The sequence below is a fragment of the Homo sapiens genome, chromosome 5, assembly GCF_000001405.40.
Source record: "Homo sapiens chromosome 5, GRCh38.p14 Primary Assembly".
NCBI classification, from domain to species: Eukaryota; Metazoa; Chordata; class Mammalia; order Primates; family Hominidae; genus Homo; species Homo sapiens.
In genome coordinates, this window is record NC_000005.10 from 76861237 (window position 1) to 76879408 (window position 18172).

The window sequence follows — 18172 nt, forward strand, 5'->3', positions numbered from 1 at the left end:
CTTTGTCCTGTAGATCTCTCCGTAGGACTTCTTGGATATCCTTACAATGTGGCAGCTGATTGCCTCCAGAGTGAGTGATTCAAGAGGAAGCGAGGCAAAAGCCAGGATTTTTTTTTTTTTTGAGATGGAGTCTTGCTCTTTCGCCCAGGCTGGAGTGAGGTGGCGTGAACTCAGCTCACTGCAACCTCTGCCCCCGGGTTCAAGTGATTCCCCTGCCTCAGTCTCCCAAGTAGCTGGGATTACAGGCACCTGCCACCATGCCTAGCTAATTTTTGTATTTTTAGTAGAGACGGGGTTTCGCCATGTTGGCCAGGCTGGTCTCGAACTCCTGACCTCAGGTGATCTACCCACCTCAGCCTCCCAAAGTGCTGGGATTACAGGCGTGAGCCACTGTGCCCGGCCAAAGCCAGGATGTCTTTTATACCCCCGTCTCAGAAGTCACTCACAGTTTCCCACTGGGAACACATTCTATGTGTTTATTTTAGGCTTGGCCAATGTGACTGGCTGAGGTTCAGATCAAGATTCATCTACTTCATTTGGCTCAAGAATAAATTTGGGAAATAAATAAGCATTCATGTTATACTTCTTAGTCATCAGTATAAATAACGCATTTTCACTCCCTATTTTCAGAGAAAGAATCTTCTTAGCTGTCTTCTCCAGTATCTTATTTCAATGTTTAACAGCCTTCATGGTTAGGGATTTTTTTTTCCTTTAACATTGTTTAAGTTATTCACCTTCATCTGACTGCAGCAGTGACACAAAGAAGTTTCGTATTTCTCCTCTGTCATTAATTCTCCATGTATTCAATGCCATGAAATTACTTCTCTTCTTCTGGTGAAATAATTCCAGTTTTGTTACCTTTTTTTCTCATGCTGGCAGGGATAAGGAGTGTGCGTGTGTGTGTGTGTGTGTGTGTGTGTAAACTTTATTAGGTAGAATTTCAAATATATAGAAAAGTAGAGTAGCCTAATGAACTCCCATGTACCCAGCTGAAGAAGGAGAATAGGGAATTAGGGTAATGAAGGGTTGGGGCATAAGCAAGGAATAGCAGGGGCAGCCAGATCGCATAAGCAAGGGAACAGAAGGTATAGCCAGTTCTAGGCAAGATTGGGCAGCATACAGGCCACATCCTCACTCCTGTGATAACAAGATGGAAGTCTCCACTTCAGCCGCTGATTGGTCACAGGCCAATCCTTCATAGGGTGTAGCCAATTGGAGGCCTCTGAAGAGCACCTAGGAGTGTTACAGAATTCTCTTGGCTTTATAAGACCCTGAGGAGCCACCAGGTGCGGTGGCTCACGCCTGTAATCCCAGCACTTTGGGAGGCCGAGGCAGGTGGATAACCTGAGGCCAGGAGTTCGAGACCAGCCTGGCCAACATGGTGAAACCATGTCTCTACTATAAATATAAAAAAAATTAGCTGGGCACGGTGGCGCATTCCTGTAGTCCCAGCTACTCTGGAGGCTGAGGCATGAGTATGGCTTGAACCTGGGAGTCGGAGGTTGCAGTGAGCCGAGATCAAGCCACTCCACTCCAGCCTGGGCGACAGAGTGAGACTTGTGACCCCATCGCGAAACAACAACAACAAAAACCCTGAGGAGCATTGCAATAAAGGGGCTCTTGAGCTGCTTGCTCAAGTTCACTCCTGCTCTGTGAATTGTACCTTCTCTTAAGAAATCTGTGACTTCCTTACTCTGTTCTTTTGTTGTTTTGTCTTTCGTTGCTTCTTTTTTGCTTTGTTTCTGTGTTTTGTTCAATTCTTTGTTCAACACACCATGAACCTGGACAACTCACAGTCAAGACCTTCTATCTGGTAACAATAGGCAACACCATTTAAAGAAGAGAGAACACTTTCTGTAGTTCCTGGAGTAGAGAGACATCTGACTTTCCTGGCAGAAATGTGGGGTGAATTATCTAAACCTGTTTTTCTGGACGGTAGGGGCCAGGAGGAAAAGAGTATAGTCAAGGCTCTCCTTGAACTTCCTCCAGGGACCTTTGACCTCTACTTCATTGTCTGAATTGTTTTGCTGGAGGAGGTAAAACATGCACACCAGTGTGCACACACACAAGCACTCACTCACACAGTGGTCCTTAACACACTTTAGAATCAAAAAATTGTTTAAAGGAAAGGGAACTTCAAGGTCATTTAGCCCAAGGTTGTCATTTTACGCTTGTGAAAAAGGAGGCCCATTTATATCACATAACTTACGGTTGGTTAGCACTTAATAATAACCTGTAATGCATTTTTAGTAATATTTTGAGCATGTGTCCTCAATTATATTATCTCTTATTTTGTTTTATTTTATTTTATTTATTTTTTGAGGCAGAGTCTCACTCTGTTGCCCAGGCTGGAGTGCAGTGGCGCGATCTCGGCTCACTGCAAGCTCCGCCTCCCGGGTTCACGCCATTCTCCTGCCTCAGCCTCCCAAGTAGCTGGGACTACAGGCACCCGCCACCACACCCAGCTAATTTTTTGTATTTTTAGTAGAGACGGGGTTTCACCGTGTTAGCCAGGATGGTCTCGATCTCCTGACCTTGTGATCCACCCACCTTGGCCTCCCAAAGTACTGGGATTACAGGTGTGAGCCACTGCGCCCGGCCAATTATATTATCTCTTGAAGGCTCCAGCACAGGGCAAATGGTTGCCCTAAGTATGTGAAAGAAGCCTTATAAACTGGAAACTTAAATCTAGAATTTTATATGCTAAATCTTTATTCAACATTATACCTTAAAAGACAGTGCTTAATATGGAGATAGGTTACAATTTTAAATACTGTATTATTACAATTAATGTTTTAACTGAAAATGCAATTTGTCAGCAGCATTAAAGAATTTCTAAATCCTCCGTAATTCTATTAAACAATGAATAAAACTACAGTCATGTGCCCATAATGACATTTTGCTCAATGATGGACCAACCACATATATGACAATGGTCCCATAAGATTATAATAGAACTGAAAAATTCTTCTTGCTTAGTGAAGTCACACCATCACACTGTCATAACACAACACAATACTTACATGTCTGGGGCGATACTGGTGTAAACAAACCTGCTGTGTTTCCAGTTGTATAAAAGTATAGAACATACAATTACACTACATGATACCTGATAATAAACAGCTATGTTACTGCTTAATGCATACTATATTTTTTTTTTTTTTTTTTTTTTTTTTTTTTTTTGAGATGGAGTCTCACTCGGTCACCCAGGCTGGAGTGCAGTGGCACAATCTCGGCTAACTGTAACCTCTGCCTCCTGGGCTCAAGCAATCCTAACACCTCAGCCTCCCAGAGGCAGGTGGAACCACAGGCGCATGACACCACATCCAACTAATTTTTGTATTTTTAGTAGAGACAGGGTTTTGCCATGTTGCCTAGGCTGGTCTCAAACTCCTGAGCTCAAGCGAGCCACCCGCCTCAGCCTCCCAGAGTGCTGGGATTATAGGCGTGAGCCACTGGCCTGGCCTCATTTATTATACTTTTTTCTTCTTGAAAGGGAATCTCGCCTGTCACCCAGGTTGGAGTGCAGTGGCACGATCTCGGCTCGCTGCAACCTCTGCCTCCCGGGTTCAAGTGATTCTTCTGCCTCAGCCTCCCTAGTAGCTGAGACTACAGTCGCACATCACCATGCCTGGCTAATTGTTGTATTTTTAGTAGAGATGGCATTTCACCATATTGGCCAGGCTGGTTTCAAACTCCTGACCTCATGATCAGCCCGCCTCAGCCTCCCAAAGTGCTGGGATTCCAGGCATGAGCCACCACGCCCGGCCTACTATACTTTTAACTGTTAGTTTAGCGTGTACTCCCTCAATTCATAAAAAAAGCTAACTGTAAAGCAGCCTTGGGCAGGCCCTTCAGAAGGCGTTGTTATCACAGATGCCAGCTCCACAGGTGTTATTGTCCCTGAGACCTTCCAGTGGGATGAGATGTAGAGACGGAACACAGCAATGATGATTCTGACCCTGTGTAGGCCTAGGCTAATGTGTGTGTTTGTGTCCTAGCTCTTTTTTTTTTTTTTTTTTTTTGAGATGGAGTTTCACTCTTGTTACCCAGGCTGGAGTGCAGTGGTGCGATCTTGGCTCACTGCAACCTCCGCCTCCCGGCTTCAAGTGATTCTCCTGCCTTAGCCTCCCGAGTAGCTGGGATTACAGGTGCACACCACCAGGCCTGGCTATTTTTTTTGTATTTTTAGTAGAGACAGGATTTCACCATGTTGGTCAGGCTGGTCTCAAACTCTTGACCTCAGGTGATCCACCTGCCTCGGCCTCCCAAAGTGCTGGGATTACAGGCGTGAGCCACTGTACCCGGCCCATGTCCTAGTTTTTAATGAAAAAGTTTACAAAGTTAAAAAAAAAATTAAAAATAGAAAAAACTTATAGAATAAAAATATAAAGAAAAAATTGTACAGCTGTACAGTGTGAGTTTCAAGTGAAGTGTTATTACAAAAGTGTCAAAAAGTTTAAAAAATTTAAAAGCTTATAAAGCTAGAATGTTGGCTGGGCGCAGTGGCTCATGCCTGTAATCCCAGCACTTTGGGCGGTTGAGGTGGGTGGATCACTTGAGGTCAGTAGTTCGAGACCAGCCTGGCCAACATGGTGAAACCCCGTCTCTACTAAAAATAAAAAAAAATTAGCCAGGTGTGGTGGCGGGTGCCTGTAATCCCAGCTACTCAGGAGGCTGAGGCAGGAGAATCACTTGAACCCGGGAAGCAGAGGTTGCAGTGAGCTGAGATCACACCACTGCACTCCAGCCTGGGCGACAGAGTGAGACTCCATCTCAAAGAAAAAAAGAAAAAAAAAAAGTTACAGTAAGGTAAGGTTAACTTATTTTGAAGAAAGAAAAATTTTTGTTTGTTTGCTTGTTTTTGAGACAGGGTGTTGCTCTGTCACCCAGGCTGGAGTGCAGTGTAGTGATCTTGGCTCACTGCAACCTCCACCTCCCAGCCTCAAGTGGTCCCCCCACCTCAGCCTCCCAAGTAGCTGGGACTACAGGCATGCGCCACCATGCCCGGCTAATTTTTGTATTTTTAGCAGAGACAGGGTTTCACTATGTTGCCCACAATGGTCTCGAAATTCTGGGCTCAAATGATCTGCCTGCCTCAGCCTCCCCAAGTGCTAGGATTACAGATATGAGCCACCACACCTGGCCATGAAAAGTATTATAAAATAAATTTAGTGCAGCCTAACTGTACAATGTTTATGAAGGCTATAGCAGTGTATAGTAGTGTCCTAGGTCCTAGGCCTTCACATTCACTCACCATTTACTTACCAACTCACACAGAGCAACTTCCAGTCCTGCAGCCTCCACTCATGGTAAGTGTCCTATAAAGGTGTACTATTTTTTTTATCTTTTATACATATTTTTACTGTACCTTTTCTATATTTACCTACACAAATACTATTGCATTACAGTTGCCTGCAGTATTCAGCACAGTTATATGCTGTACAGGTTTATAGCCTAGGAGCAATAGGCTATGCCATATGGCCTAGGTGTGTAGTGGGCTGTACCATCTACGTGTGTGTAAGTATACCCTATGATGTTCACACAATGACAAAATCACCTAATGACGCATTTCTCAGAATATATTTCTGTCATTAAGTAACACAGGACTATTTCATTTTCCCTCTTTAGGTACACAACATTTATCCATTACAGCATATGTATAATTTCTACTTTGTTAGTTTCACTTACCATTTTCCTGAAATTTTTTTTGCATTTTTGTAGTCTTTATAATTCTAATTTTAAATGGCTGCATGATTTTATCTTTTGTCAGACAAGCATGGGTCTGAGTCTCAGCTCTGCTACGACATAGTTGTGCGATTCTAGGAAAGCTTCTTTCTTTCCTTTTAAAAATAGCTTTGAGTTATAATTGACACACAATAAACTGCACGTATTTAAAATACACACTTTGGTAAGTTTGACATCTGTATACACCAGTGACACCATCACCACAGTCAAGATAATAAACATACTCACCACCCTCAAAAGTGTCCACCCTTCTGAGGTCCGTCCCTCCCACTGAGATTCCTCATGCTGTTGCTAGGAAAATGATAGAACATTTGAATCTGGTTACATAAAAAGACAAAAACTGGAGAGTTTAGGAGGAAGCAACTTAGCCTCCTGTATGACTGTAGTCTTGGCCCCAGGGCAGTTCCTGGCTCAGACACTCTGGGGGTATCCTCAGTCTAAGGAGGGTGTCTGCCTGCCCGGTTGACAGGATGCCTCTTCTTCACATACGTCTTGTCTTTCAGAGTCCATGACCAATGCCTCACTTACAAATATCTTTTCTCCTTTTGCTCCCACCTTTGTGGATATTTACCAGTTTTTTTTCTCTAAAATCATCCTTACTTTTTTTTTTTCTTTTTTTTTTTTTGAGGTGGGGTCTCACTCTGTCTCCCAGGCTGGAGTATAGTGGTGTGATCTCAGCTCTCTGCAACTGAGTTCAAATGATCCTCCTGCCTCAGCCTCTCGAGTAGCTGGGATTACAGGCATGCATAACCATGCCCGACTAATTTTTGTATTTTTAGTAGAGATGGGGTTTCGCCATGTTGGCCAGGCTGGTCTCAAACTCCTGACCTCAGGTGATCCACCCACCTTGGCCTCCCAAAATGCTGGGATTACAGGCGTGAGCCACTGCGGCCGGCCACAGTCATTACCTTTAAGCTCCCCCCAAATCTGATCATTTCTCCCATTCTTTGCACACTATCTCAGACCTTTACGCCCTAAGGGCTATGACTCATACCAAAATTGCAAAGTGCAATGGAAATAATTAATAGAGCAAGCAAGGTGCATAGGATAACCCTCTGTGCTATCAACAGGTGTGTCTCCCCCTCCTGGGATTTCATGTCACCCGTAAATTTGTGTCTCTAGCCTGACAGATTCTTTTTGAGCCTTTTGACATTGCCTTTGTTTCTGAAAGTCTCCTGGAGGGCAGGGGCTGAGGCTGGGTTATATAAAGATAAGCCCCTGAAGAAAGGGCTTTATAAATAGGATTTCAAGTGCATTCTGGGAATTAGAGGGCTGCCAGGTGCAGTCCTGGAGATTGACACTAAGGGGCAGCATGTACCAAAGGATATATTTAGCTCTGCCAAAGCCCAGTAGAAACAAAGAGAAAATCACCTTGCTTTTAAACCCCAAGAGCCAAGATGTAGAAGCCACATTTTCATCTCTTGAATCAAATTACAGCATTACAATTTTCAATATCTATTCTATTAGGAGTTTTACCTGCCAACTGAGTTCTCCGAGTAAATTATTTTATGGTTAAATATGATATAAATATAATACTGTTGAGACCCATATACTCTGTAAGATTTACTGATTTTAGTGCATCTATAACTTCAACAACTTAATTTGGAATTAAATAATATTTTATTCCAAATTCAAACTCTTTTTTTTTTTTTTTTTTGCGACAGAGTCTGGCTGCAACACCCAGGCTGGAGTGCAATGGCATTATCTCGGCTCACGGTAACCTCTGTCTCCTGGGTTCAAGCGATTCTCCTGCATCAGCCTCCCGAGTAGCTGGGACTACAGGCGCATGCCACCACATCTCACTGCTTTTTGTATTTTTAGTAGAGACGGGGTTTCACCGTTTTGGTCAGGCTGGTCTCAAACTCCTGACCTCAAGTGATCTACCCGCCTCAGCCTCCCAAAGTGCTGGGATTACAGGCGTGAGCCACCACATCCAGCTCAAACTCTTTATATTCATTGACATGACTGTTGTCTGTCTGTCTGTTTCTCTTTCTCCCTTTGATGAAGCAAATTTTTATGTGGAATAAAGGCAATCAAATAATTATTTGGCAGTTAAACTAGACAAGGCCAACTCTTGGGGAATCTTATGTTTCCCTCTCTGATTGATTTGTTTATGAATTCATCCATCAGTGAGGATTTCTGAGCACTTCCATATGCCTGTCCCTGTGCTAAATGCTGTGGAATGCATAGATGAACCAGATATCAACCCTGACATCAAGGAACTCATTCAAAGTGTGGAGGGTGGGGAACATACGGCAGACAAAAAAAAACGTGATGTTGGGAATGTATGGTAAGTGCAATGATGAGAAAAACAAACATAAGGTAGGAAATAGGAGAGGACAGAGAAGGCACCTATCAGAGATGGGGGGATGTGGGGTGGGTAGTTGGGAAGAGTGCAGGAAAATGTCCAAGAGGAGATGACATTTGAACTGATCTTAAAGGAGCAGATGGAATTAGCTTTCCACACAGTGTGCTCAGAACCTGCAAAGGCATGGAAGAATGGGAGCTCCCAACACCATGGTCAGTTTGCAGGCAGGGCCAACCCTTTGAATGGCCAGGAGCGTGGGTGTTGATTTGTGATTTAGATCAGCTTCTCTGACAGCAGAATAGACGTGAGAATGGAGGGGCATGGTAGAAAGTAGAAAGAGCAGTAAGGAAGCCACTGCAGTAATAGGGACCAAAAATTAAAAGGCCCCAAAGGTGGTGAAGAATGGAGAGAAGTGGACCAGTTTAGCTGGTATTTAAGAATTGTGGCTGGGTGCAGTGGCTCACACCTGTAATCCCGGCACTTTGGGAGGCTGAGGCAGGTGGATCACTTGAGGCCAGGAGTTCAAGACCAGCCTAGCCAACATGGTGAAACCCCATCTATACTAAAAACACACAAAATAATTAGCCCAGCGTGGCGGTGCCCACTTGTAATCCCAGCTACTCAGGAGGCTGAGGAAGGAGAATTGCTTGAACCCAGGAGGCAGAGGTTGCAGTGAGCTGAGATCCTGTCACTGCACTTCAGCCTGGGTGACAGACTAAGACTCCGTCTCAAAAAAAAAAAAAAATTGTGACAGAAGCTGGTGTGACCAAGGAACTGGATGTTTGAGATGACTGAGGGGATGAGTTTTGCTTAGGTCCCGTGAGATAAAGTAGAAAACGTAAAAAGACGTATTTACTCATTTCTGCTTGCCAGTGTAATTTCACAAGCCCCTGACTCTGTGTAGACACCCAGCTCTCCAGAAAAATGCTTTGAAGACAAAGGATACAGCATACAGTCCCGTGTCTCGGCTGAGTCATCGCATTCCTTAATAGGTAAATAAGCCTAATTAATGCCTTTTCCTATAGGTAACATAATGTCTGATGGGGTTAGGGATGATGCCTCTGTAATCTATACCAGATGTACTCTTATACACAAACCTTGATGTGATTCTGCTTTAATGTAACTTCTGCAAGTTTGATGTGACTTTGCATGTAGTGAACCCCCAAGGCCTGTGTAGAAGCTGCGGGTGGAGCTACCTTGCTGGAGCAGTCTCACAGAACCCCTCTGAAGGGCTGCTCCCAGGATGTAGACCTTGGTCTATAGTCCTCAGTAAGATTCCTGAGTAAAACTAGTTTTAACTTTCTAAAAGCTTGATTTTTTTTTTTCTTTAGTGGACAGTCCGAATTGAGTTTGAAAAGCTTGTGGGACATTCAGGTAGAGATGTGGTCCAGCAGGCTGTTGGATAGATGGTTCTGGAGCTTAGCAGACAGATCTGGGCCAAGAAATATAATCTTGGGAGAGACTGAAATTATAGGAGTAGCTGAGACCACAGTGGGAACAACATTTAAGAGCTGGAGAGGGGAAAGTGCTTTAAAAAATGAGGAGGAGGCTGGGCACGCTGGCTCACATCTATAATCCCAGCATTTTGGGAGGCTGGGGTGGGAGGATTGCTTGAGGCCAGAAGTTTGGGACCAGCGTGGGCAACATAGCAAGACTCCATTTCTACAAAGAAAAAAATAAAATAAAATCCTAAGCTCCTCAACTGACTGAACAGACCCTCTCTTGGCCCAGGGGACCCCAGAGAAACCTGAACAACTGAATTCCAGGCCTTGATGGGAAGAGAGGTCAGACAGGCCTCATTGTACCTCTTTCCTTTTGGGATACCAAATTCCAACCTCACTCTGGTAGCATCACATGACAGATAGCAGACCATGAAGGAAATCAAAATATTTTACCCCAAAATAGACTTCTCTGACATATTTTGAAATGGTCCTGTAAAGCCGTCTTTTATGGGGGAAATTTTGCATCTATAGAGAATCTCCATTAATGCAGCTAGGCCTTTCCAGATCTAGGAGAAATTAACTAGGAATTTGACACTTTTTAAGGTCCAAAAAGAAACATTTATCATTTATTCTCTCTGAAGGCTGCTACCTGGAGGTTTCATCTACATAAGAAGAACCTTGGCTTCCACAGCCCCCTTTATCTTAACTCAAGAATTTCTTTCTGCTGACTTCAAGTCTTTAGACAACAATGCTTAACTCTTTCAACAAATTGCCAATCAGAAACTCTTTTTTTTTTTTTTTTTTTTTAGACAGAGTGTCGCTTTATCACCCACCCTGGAGGGCAGTGGCATGATCTTGGCTCACTGCAACCTCCACCTCCCAAGTTCAAGTGATTCTCCTGCTTCAGCCTCCTGAGTAGCTGGGATTACAGGCATGCACCACCACACCCGGCTAATTTTTTTTTGTATTTTTAGTAGAGACAGGGTTTCACCATGTTGGCCAAGCTGGTCTCGAACTCCTTACCTCAGATGATCCACCCACCTTGGCCTCCCAAAGTATTGGGATTACAGGCGTGAGCCACCGGGCCCTGCCCGAAAATCTTTGAATCCACTTGTGATCTGTAAGCCCCATACCCCTGCCTTTTTGAGCCAAACCAATGTACACCTTACATATACTGATTTATGACTTCGCCTATAACTTAACATATAAAACCAAATTTTGGCCAGGTACAGTGGCTCATGCCCATAATCTCAGCACTTTGGGAGGCTAAGGCAGGAGGATCACTTGAGCCCAGGAGTTTGAGACCAGCTTGGGCAGCATAGTGAGACCTCATCTCTAAAAAAAGTAAAAAATAAAAAATTAACCAGGAATGGTGGTGTGCACCTGTGTGTGGTCTCAGCTATTCAGGAAACTGAAGTGGGAGGATTGCTTGAGCCTGGGAGTTCGAGGCTGCAGTGAGCCATTATTGCACCACTGCACTCCAGTCTGGGTGACAGCGGGAGACCCTATCTCAAAAATAAATAAATAATGAACTAAATTGTAACCTGCCACCTTGGGCATACCTTCTTAGGACCTCTTGAGACAGTTCCCTGGGCCGTGGTCACTCATATCGGCTCAAAATAAACCTCTTTAAGTATTTCACAGAGACAATGTAAGGTGGCTAAAGCCTGTAATCCCAGCACTTTGGGAGGCCAAGGCAGGAGGATCACTTGAGGCCAGGAGTTTGACACCAGCCTGGGAAACATAGGGAGACCCCATATCTACAAAAATAAAAAAATTAGTCAGGCATGATAACATGTGCCTGTTGTCCCAGCTACTCAGGTGGCTGAAGCAGGAGGATCGCTTGAGCCTGGGAGGTTGAGGTGCAGTGAGCCATTACTGGGCCACTGCATTCCAGCATGGGTGACAGAGCAAGACTCTGTCTTAAAAAAATAAATAAAATAAGGCTGGGTGCAGTGGCTCACACCTGTAATCCCAGCATTTTGGGAGGCCAAGGCAGGCGGATTGCGTGAGCTCAGGAGTTCAAGACCAGCCTGGGCAACATGGCAAAACCCCATCTCTACTACAAATACAAAAATAAAAATAAAAATTAGCCAGGCATGGTGGTGTGAACCTGTAGTCCCAGCTACTTGGGAGGCTGAGATGGAAGAATTGTCTGAGCCCAGGAGGTCGAGGCTGCAGTGAGCTGTGATGGCACCACTGCACTCCAGCCTGGGCAACCAGAGTCAGACCTTGCCTCAAAAATAATAATAAATAAATAAATAAAATAAATATTGTATAGAGTTTGTTTTTTCCATTCTGAGTAGGTGCTATGGTCATCCCCATTTAGACTAATGGGGAAAATGCAGCATAGATGCTAATTGACCAGCACAGGATCACACAACTAGTGGCAGAGGTGAGAGGTAAAGCCAGGCAGTTCATGCTTTTAGCCACCATGATACTGCCTCCCACACAGGAAAAATTTACAAAGGGTAATTACTAGGGTAGGGAATGGTGAGAGAGAATTTTACTATTTCATACTCCTAAGTATTCAAAATATTATTTTACCTATATTACTTTGACAATAAAAACTAACAATTTTTTTTTTTTTTTTGAGACGGAGTCTCACTGTCACCCAGGATGGAGTGCAGGGACGTGATCTTGGCTCATTGCAACCTCCACCTCCTGGGTTCAAGCAATTCTCCTGCCTCAGCCTCCCGAGTAGCTGGGACTACAGGCGTGCACCACCATATCCAGTTAATTTTTGTATTTTTAGTAGAGACAGGGTTTCACCATTTTGGTCAGGGTGGTCTCGAACTCCTGACCTCAAGTGATCTGCCTCCCAACGTGCTGGGATTACAGGATTGAGCCACTGTGCCCAGCCTGAATATGTTTGAAAATTTTGTGTTAGGTGTACAGTGAACACCTCCTGGGAACCTTGCAGGGAGGTTGCAGTGGAGTAGCCAGGCAGCAAGGCCAGGGGCAGATGGGATGGTTGAGGTTACATACTGACTACTTTGTTGAAGGGAAATAAAAAGGAGATCCTGGCTTGCTTTCCGTATAATTAAGTTTCAGTCCTGAGAGAACAGGCAGGATTTAAAAGCACAGTGGCCAATATCTGGCTTTGGTTTTTACATGGACTCTTTCTTTATTAAGTTTCTCTCACTTGGAAATCTGTTGTGGATTCCTGCACACACAGCTGCTCTGAGGTTTATTTCAACTTTTTTATTAGGTAATACATTCCTATAACTGAAAAAGTTAAAATCACTTAAAAAGGTGTACACTGGGAAGTCTTACTCCCAACCACTCTGTTCTACCCTTTCCCCCCTTACCCCTGACAGCTCCCAACATAGTATTATATTTTGTTTCCTTTCAGTGACTCCTTAGGTAACTGCAAGCACACATACACATGTATTATTTCTTTTTTACACAGTTGGGAGCACTGCTTTGTACCTTTCTAAATCAGTGCGTGGAGCACTTCCTCTTTTTTTTTTTTTTTCAACTGTCCTTTGGGTTAGTTTAATCTACTATGAATTTACTCCCTTGTCCTTGCTATTGGCTTTGCTGAGTCATCTCCAGGTTGGAACTAGTGTTTCTTCTTTGCTCCCCTATTTTTAGAGTTCTTCCCCATCATCAGCTTCCTAGCAACTAATTGCATTTCTATCCACACTCCCCTAAAGAGAGATAAGGCTTCCTCTTGCTTTGTCTTTGCCTTCTTATCTAATGCACCCAATGAGCACTAGCCTTCTTCAATGACCCTTGGGGCAGCAGCTCACACCTGTTCATTTTGGTGATTAAATACGGAGCAGAGGCACCTCCCTTTGAATCTCTTGTCACTGGCAATTTTCATCTTCCCGGAAACAGGTGTGCTGGGGAGAACGTTTCCCCCTCCCCCACGTATAAATGCTTATAGTTTAATGGTAAACAACCATTGACAGAGCTGTGTATCTGTTGAACAGGTAGGTATTTTCCTTCCTATTTTTATTTATTTTTAAATTCTATATTTTAGTTTGACTTTGTACCTGTTACCTGGTTGTCTTATGAATATGCTGGAGCTGCTACCTCTTGGGGGTGTAGGGATTAGCGAGGAGAAACAACTCAGCTGCGAAGTGCTTATTTGCAGCTTGCCCCAGCAAGGGTGGAACACTCTTTAATGAAAGACTATTATTATTATTAATTTTTTTTTTTTGAGACGGCGTCTCGCTCTGTCGCCCAGGCTGGAGTGCAGTGGCGCGATCTCGGCTCACTGCAAACTCCGCCTCCCGGGTTCACGCCGTTCTCCTGCCTCAGCCTCCTGAGTAGCTAGCTGGGACTACAGGCGCCCGCCGCCGCGCCCGGCTAATTTTTTTTTGTATTTTTAGTAGAGACGGGGTTTCACCGTGTTAGCCAGGATGGTCTCGATCTTCTGACCTTGTGATCCACCCATCTCTGCCTCCCAAAGTGCTGGGATTACAGGCTTGAGCCACCGCGCCTGCGCAGACTATTATGTTTTTAACAACCATCACTTGTGTGGCGAGCTGACTCGGGGGATTGTAATATTCTGTTTTAATGAAAGTGTTGGTGTTTCCTCATCTGTTTATTCTGAACAAGTGTCTTCTCCCCGGGTTTGGTGGCCTGCTTCTGGAGTGGTCAGTTCTGCTGCCGACATGCCCACCCAGCTCGAGATGGCCATGGACACCATGATTAGAATCTTCCACCGCTATTCTGGCAAGGAAAGGAAGAGATTCAAGCTCAGCAAGGGGGAACTGAAACTGCTCCTGCAGCGAGAGCTCACGGAATTCCTCTCGGTGAGTCAGGCCTTTGTAAATGCTGTATTCATTTGAGGGTAGATGAGGTGCAGATTCCAGGACAGCCTTTGGGTTCATACTGTCCTGTGATTCTGTCACAAATGCAGCCAAATTTGTACAGAGATTCAAAATATAGGGGAAGCAAACACTGGAGACGTTTGTTTTCTGTGTACATAGGCATGTGCCCTTTTTCGTGTTACCTGGGGTTAGGGTTTCTAAGTGGTAAAAATTGTATTTTTGACTTTCACCAATTAACATTCTGGTGCGGCAAAGATGTAGCTAATTATAGCCAGAGTTATAGTTATAACTAGTTACAGCTAGTTATACCTGGAGCTTGGTCCAGCTGTCTGTAAATTATGTATTGGGCCAGAGGTGAAGGGGTACTTTACCTTCAGAGGTGGGGTACTTCATGCTATGGTGGCAAATTTTCTAGTGAATGGCAAATACTTAGAGAGCTTTGTCAGCCGAGCACAGACTGATTGGGATTGATAGAAGGATGTGTTTGGCCAGTGACCAGTGGGGTAGCAAACAGATTCATTTCTCAAAATAGCCAGGAGTTTGAGAGATTAATATATGAAGCCGTACATTGTAGCGTTTGGGGCCTCCTCCAAGGAAAACACTTCACGCTGGTGTTTATAGAGTTGACTTAAACTGATTTTTAGCACAATATGCTACCCTCGTGTGATGTTATTCTCTCCAAACCTTGTGTTAAGACTACAGAGACTGTTAATTACAACACATGTTTCTCCCCACCCTCTATTTGGGAAAAGCTCTATAAAGTATTTTTTAACTTAGTCTTCACGACATTTTTATAGTGATCTTAGAATTCCCACAAACTTTTCTTTTCCTCTCATTCCGTTTGGCTACTGTATTTTTTTTTTTTTCGGAGATGGAGTCTTGCTGTGTCTCCTAGGCCGGAGTGCAGTGACACGATCTCGGCTCACTGCAATCTCCACCTCCCAGGTTCGAGTGATTCTTGTGCCTCAGCCTCCGGAGTAACTGGGATTACAGGCATGCACCACGACACCCAGCTAAGTTTTTTGTATTTTTAGTAGAGACAGAGTGTCACTATGTTGGCCAGGCTGGTCTCGAACTCCTGACCTCAAGTGATCTGCCTGCCTCGGCCTCCCAAAGTGCTGAGATTACAGGCGTGAGCCACTGTGTGGGGCCAACTTTGGCTACTGTACTGTTTAACATTTAGCATAAAAACTCAGTAGGTCAAACTTCGCACATTTATTTAATCAAGTACAATTTATAATTGTTTTAATCAAGTTGGTTTTGATCAATTAAGTTTTTCTCTGACCATTTAATGGTTAGCAGAAAATGAGGGGGGCATGGGGATTTCCTGGAGGAAATGAACTGCTTTTGGAAACACTCCTCATCAACACCAGTCACAGGAGAGGTGGGTGCTTCACAGTTCCAACCTTCGTGAACCTTGTCTTCCCTCTTCTCTTTGCTTTCCACCCATAAAATGCAGGCATCTTTATAAGACCTACCTTTCTTTGGGTGCCTCTCTTCTGTGTGTCAGGCACACTGTGCTAAGTAGGCTGCCAGATAAAATATTTTGTGTCCTATACAATACTTGAGACATACTAAAACTAAAAGTTATTTGTTGTTTATTTGAAATTCAAATTTAACTAGGTATCTAGTATTTTTATTTGCTAAATCTAGCGACCCTGGTGCTCTAAGCACTTTCAAAAGTGTGATGAAGTATCCCTGAAATGTGTGGATAGAAATTATCCTCCCAATTTTATAAATAAAAGCATTTAAAATGTTACGCGATTTGCTCAAATTCGCTCGTTGGTATTTTTCTCCTTTTTGGCTTCAAATCCTCCCTCTTTCTATGTCACTCGACTATCTCCTAGTGTCCTGGCTCTCAACCTGTGATGTCCTGTAAATGTGTTTTTAGCAACAGTCACTCACTTTGATCAGCTGCTGTTTGCTTTTCTTGGTTTCTAGGTCTGAGCCAGGATTATATGGAGCTGGGGCAGGGGGCTAGATTCGTTTAGAATTCGTGGCTGGTTTACACCTACCTGTAAATAGGTTCTTAGAAAATGTCTTTAGATGCTATAAATGGAAATTAGGAATTTAATGTAAATAAAAGGAAGATGAATTTCAATTGTCATCATGAACCTCAGAGCCAGGGAGTTAGAAATTTCCTTTCTCATTTTAGTGCCAAAAGGAAACCCAGTTGGTTGATAAGATAGTGCAGGACCTGGATGCCAATAAGGACAACGAAGTGGATTTTAATGAATTCGTGGTCATGGTGGCAGCTCTGACAGTTGCTTGTAATGATTACTTTGTAGAACAATTGAAGAAGAAAGGAAAATAAAGGTAAGTAATAAGCTCATCTAAAGGCAGAAATATATCCAAAGTTATGTACTTAATGTTCATTTATACCGTTCAGATCTATAGACCCAGTAATGTCATTTATAGCTATAATATCCAGTGCATATATTAATAATTAATTGCTACTATTGAATTATGTGCCCCTTAAAATATTGACTTTATGTAGATATTCTAAATCTCATATGCCCTACTTGAAACTTGCCTGTATTATTAAGAGGCTATATGCATCTTTTTGGTTTGTCAAAACGAGGGCATTACAAAAATTTAGCTACTTTCAAATGAGACTTGAATTTGGCAAATTTCTAAGATGGACATTCATATCCTTAAATTGTATTTTGAACTTCTTACCCTATTAAAAAAAATTAACTGGGTTTCCTCATTCTCTTGTGACTGTGTTTCAGATGGAAGGTGTGAGGGTCTATGAGCAGAAAGGCGGCTAAGCAGAAGTGCTGGCTTTTTCAGTGATTTCGTCAGGGAATGGATAGGTTCAGGGCTAGGTGGTCAAGCCGAGAGAGCTGAAGCCAGCAGCTCTTGTGAGCTGGCATATAAATACCCTCCTTTGCCCCTTGGGTTGGATAATTCTGAGGCAAGTGTTTGACACTATTTCCCACTGTTTCCCCCTGGGGCTGAGCCTCGGTAGGCCCCAAGGGAGGCCACCTTTTCTTCCTTATCTCACTTTCCTGCTCCAACCCTGAGTTTTCTGCATCTCTCAAATAAATGACTTCTACACGAACCCTGGCCTCAGGGTCTCCCTCTTGGGGAACCCAAACTATGATAGATCCTTTGGAGAATTTTAAGAAAGGGAGTGATATGATTATATTTATGCGTGTAAATGATTACCCTAACTACTGTGTAAAGAAAGGACTATAGAGATGGCAATCGTGGCAGGCAACCAGCTAGGAGGTTGTTGCTGTGGTCTGGGTAAGAGATGATGGTATATCAGACCAGCAGTTCAGCACTGGAGATGAAGAGAAGCAGCTGAATTGGTTAAGTATTTTGGAGCTGGGACTGATAGGACTTGCTGATGGATTCATAGTGAAGTGTGAGGAAAAGAGAGAAGTCCAGGATGACAAAACAACCGTTGCTGTTTGCCCATCTGATATCTGTTCTTCCTTTCTTCTATGTATCAGAACCCTGGTTTGTGCAGGGTGGCAATGTGCCTGGCTAAAAAGCCATATTTCCTAGCCTCTCTAACAGCCGGTGTGGGGCTTGTAATAGTTCTGGACAATGTGAGACAAGCAGAAGGCTACTGGGAATTTCTGGGAATGTTTTGCTATTGTAGACAAGAACCCATGTAGCTCTTTGTCTTCCACCTTGTTGAGTCTTTCCTTGTCTTTTTTTGTTGTTGTTGGGATGTGGATGTGAGGCTGGAGGTGGAACTGCTATCTTGCAACTATGAGGACCGTGGAGAAAAAAGATAGAAGGAGCCTGGGCATTGTTGTCATGGAGGAGCCTCTGCACAGCCTTGCTTGCCTGCTTCTGGTCCTCTCATTATGTGGGGGGAAAAAAATGACAGCTCTCTGGTTATCTGGTTCTATTACATGCAACCAAACACAATC

The 18172-nt window shown here is 43.6% G+C and overlaps 1 protein-coding gene across 10 annotated transcripts in view, besides 1 other annotated feature; it reads left to right on the plus strand.

Moving 5' to 3' along the window:
• The window catches only part of S100Z (S100 calcium binding protein Z), a 102940-nt gene that overhangs the window by 11223 nt on the left and 73545 nt on the right, over window positions 1-18172 (plus strand). For 3 of the 10 annotated variants that reach the window (XM_011543241.3, NM_001437779.1, NM_130772.4), the window contains exons 2-4: window positions 8930-9048; window positions 14068-14264; window positions 16438-16598. In XM_011543241.3, coding sequence (XP_011541543.1) covers window positions 14124-14264; window positions 16438-16596 — 300 coding nt within the window. In that variant the 5' untranslated portion in view covers window positions 8930-9048; window positions 14068-14123 and the 3' untranslated portion in view covers window positions 16597-16598. Of the gene's footprint in view, window positions 1-7648; window positions 8039-8929; window positions 9049-13386; window positions 14265-16437; window positions 16993-18172 lie in introns of those variants that run through there. The other 7 variants (NM_001437783.1, NM_001437782.1, XM_017009171.2 and 4 more) reach the window with 6 other exon arrangements.
• Window positions 9112-9809: an enhancer, noted in NCBI's record as "H3K27ac hESC enhancer chr5:76166173-76166870 (GRCh37/hg19 assembly coordinates)". NCBI's record gives its function as "activates a minimal SCP1, AML or CMV promoter by ChIP-STARR-seq in primed H9 embryonic stem cells {active_cell/tissue: H9 hESC(primed)}" and the evidence as "EXISTENCE:reporter gene assay evidence [ECO:0000049][PMID:30033119]".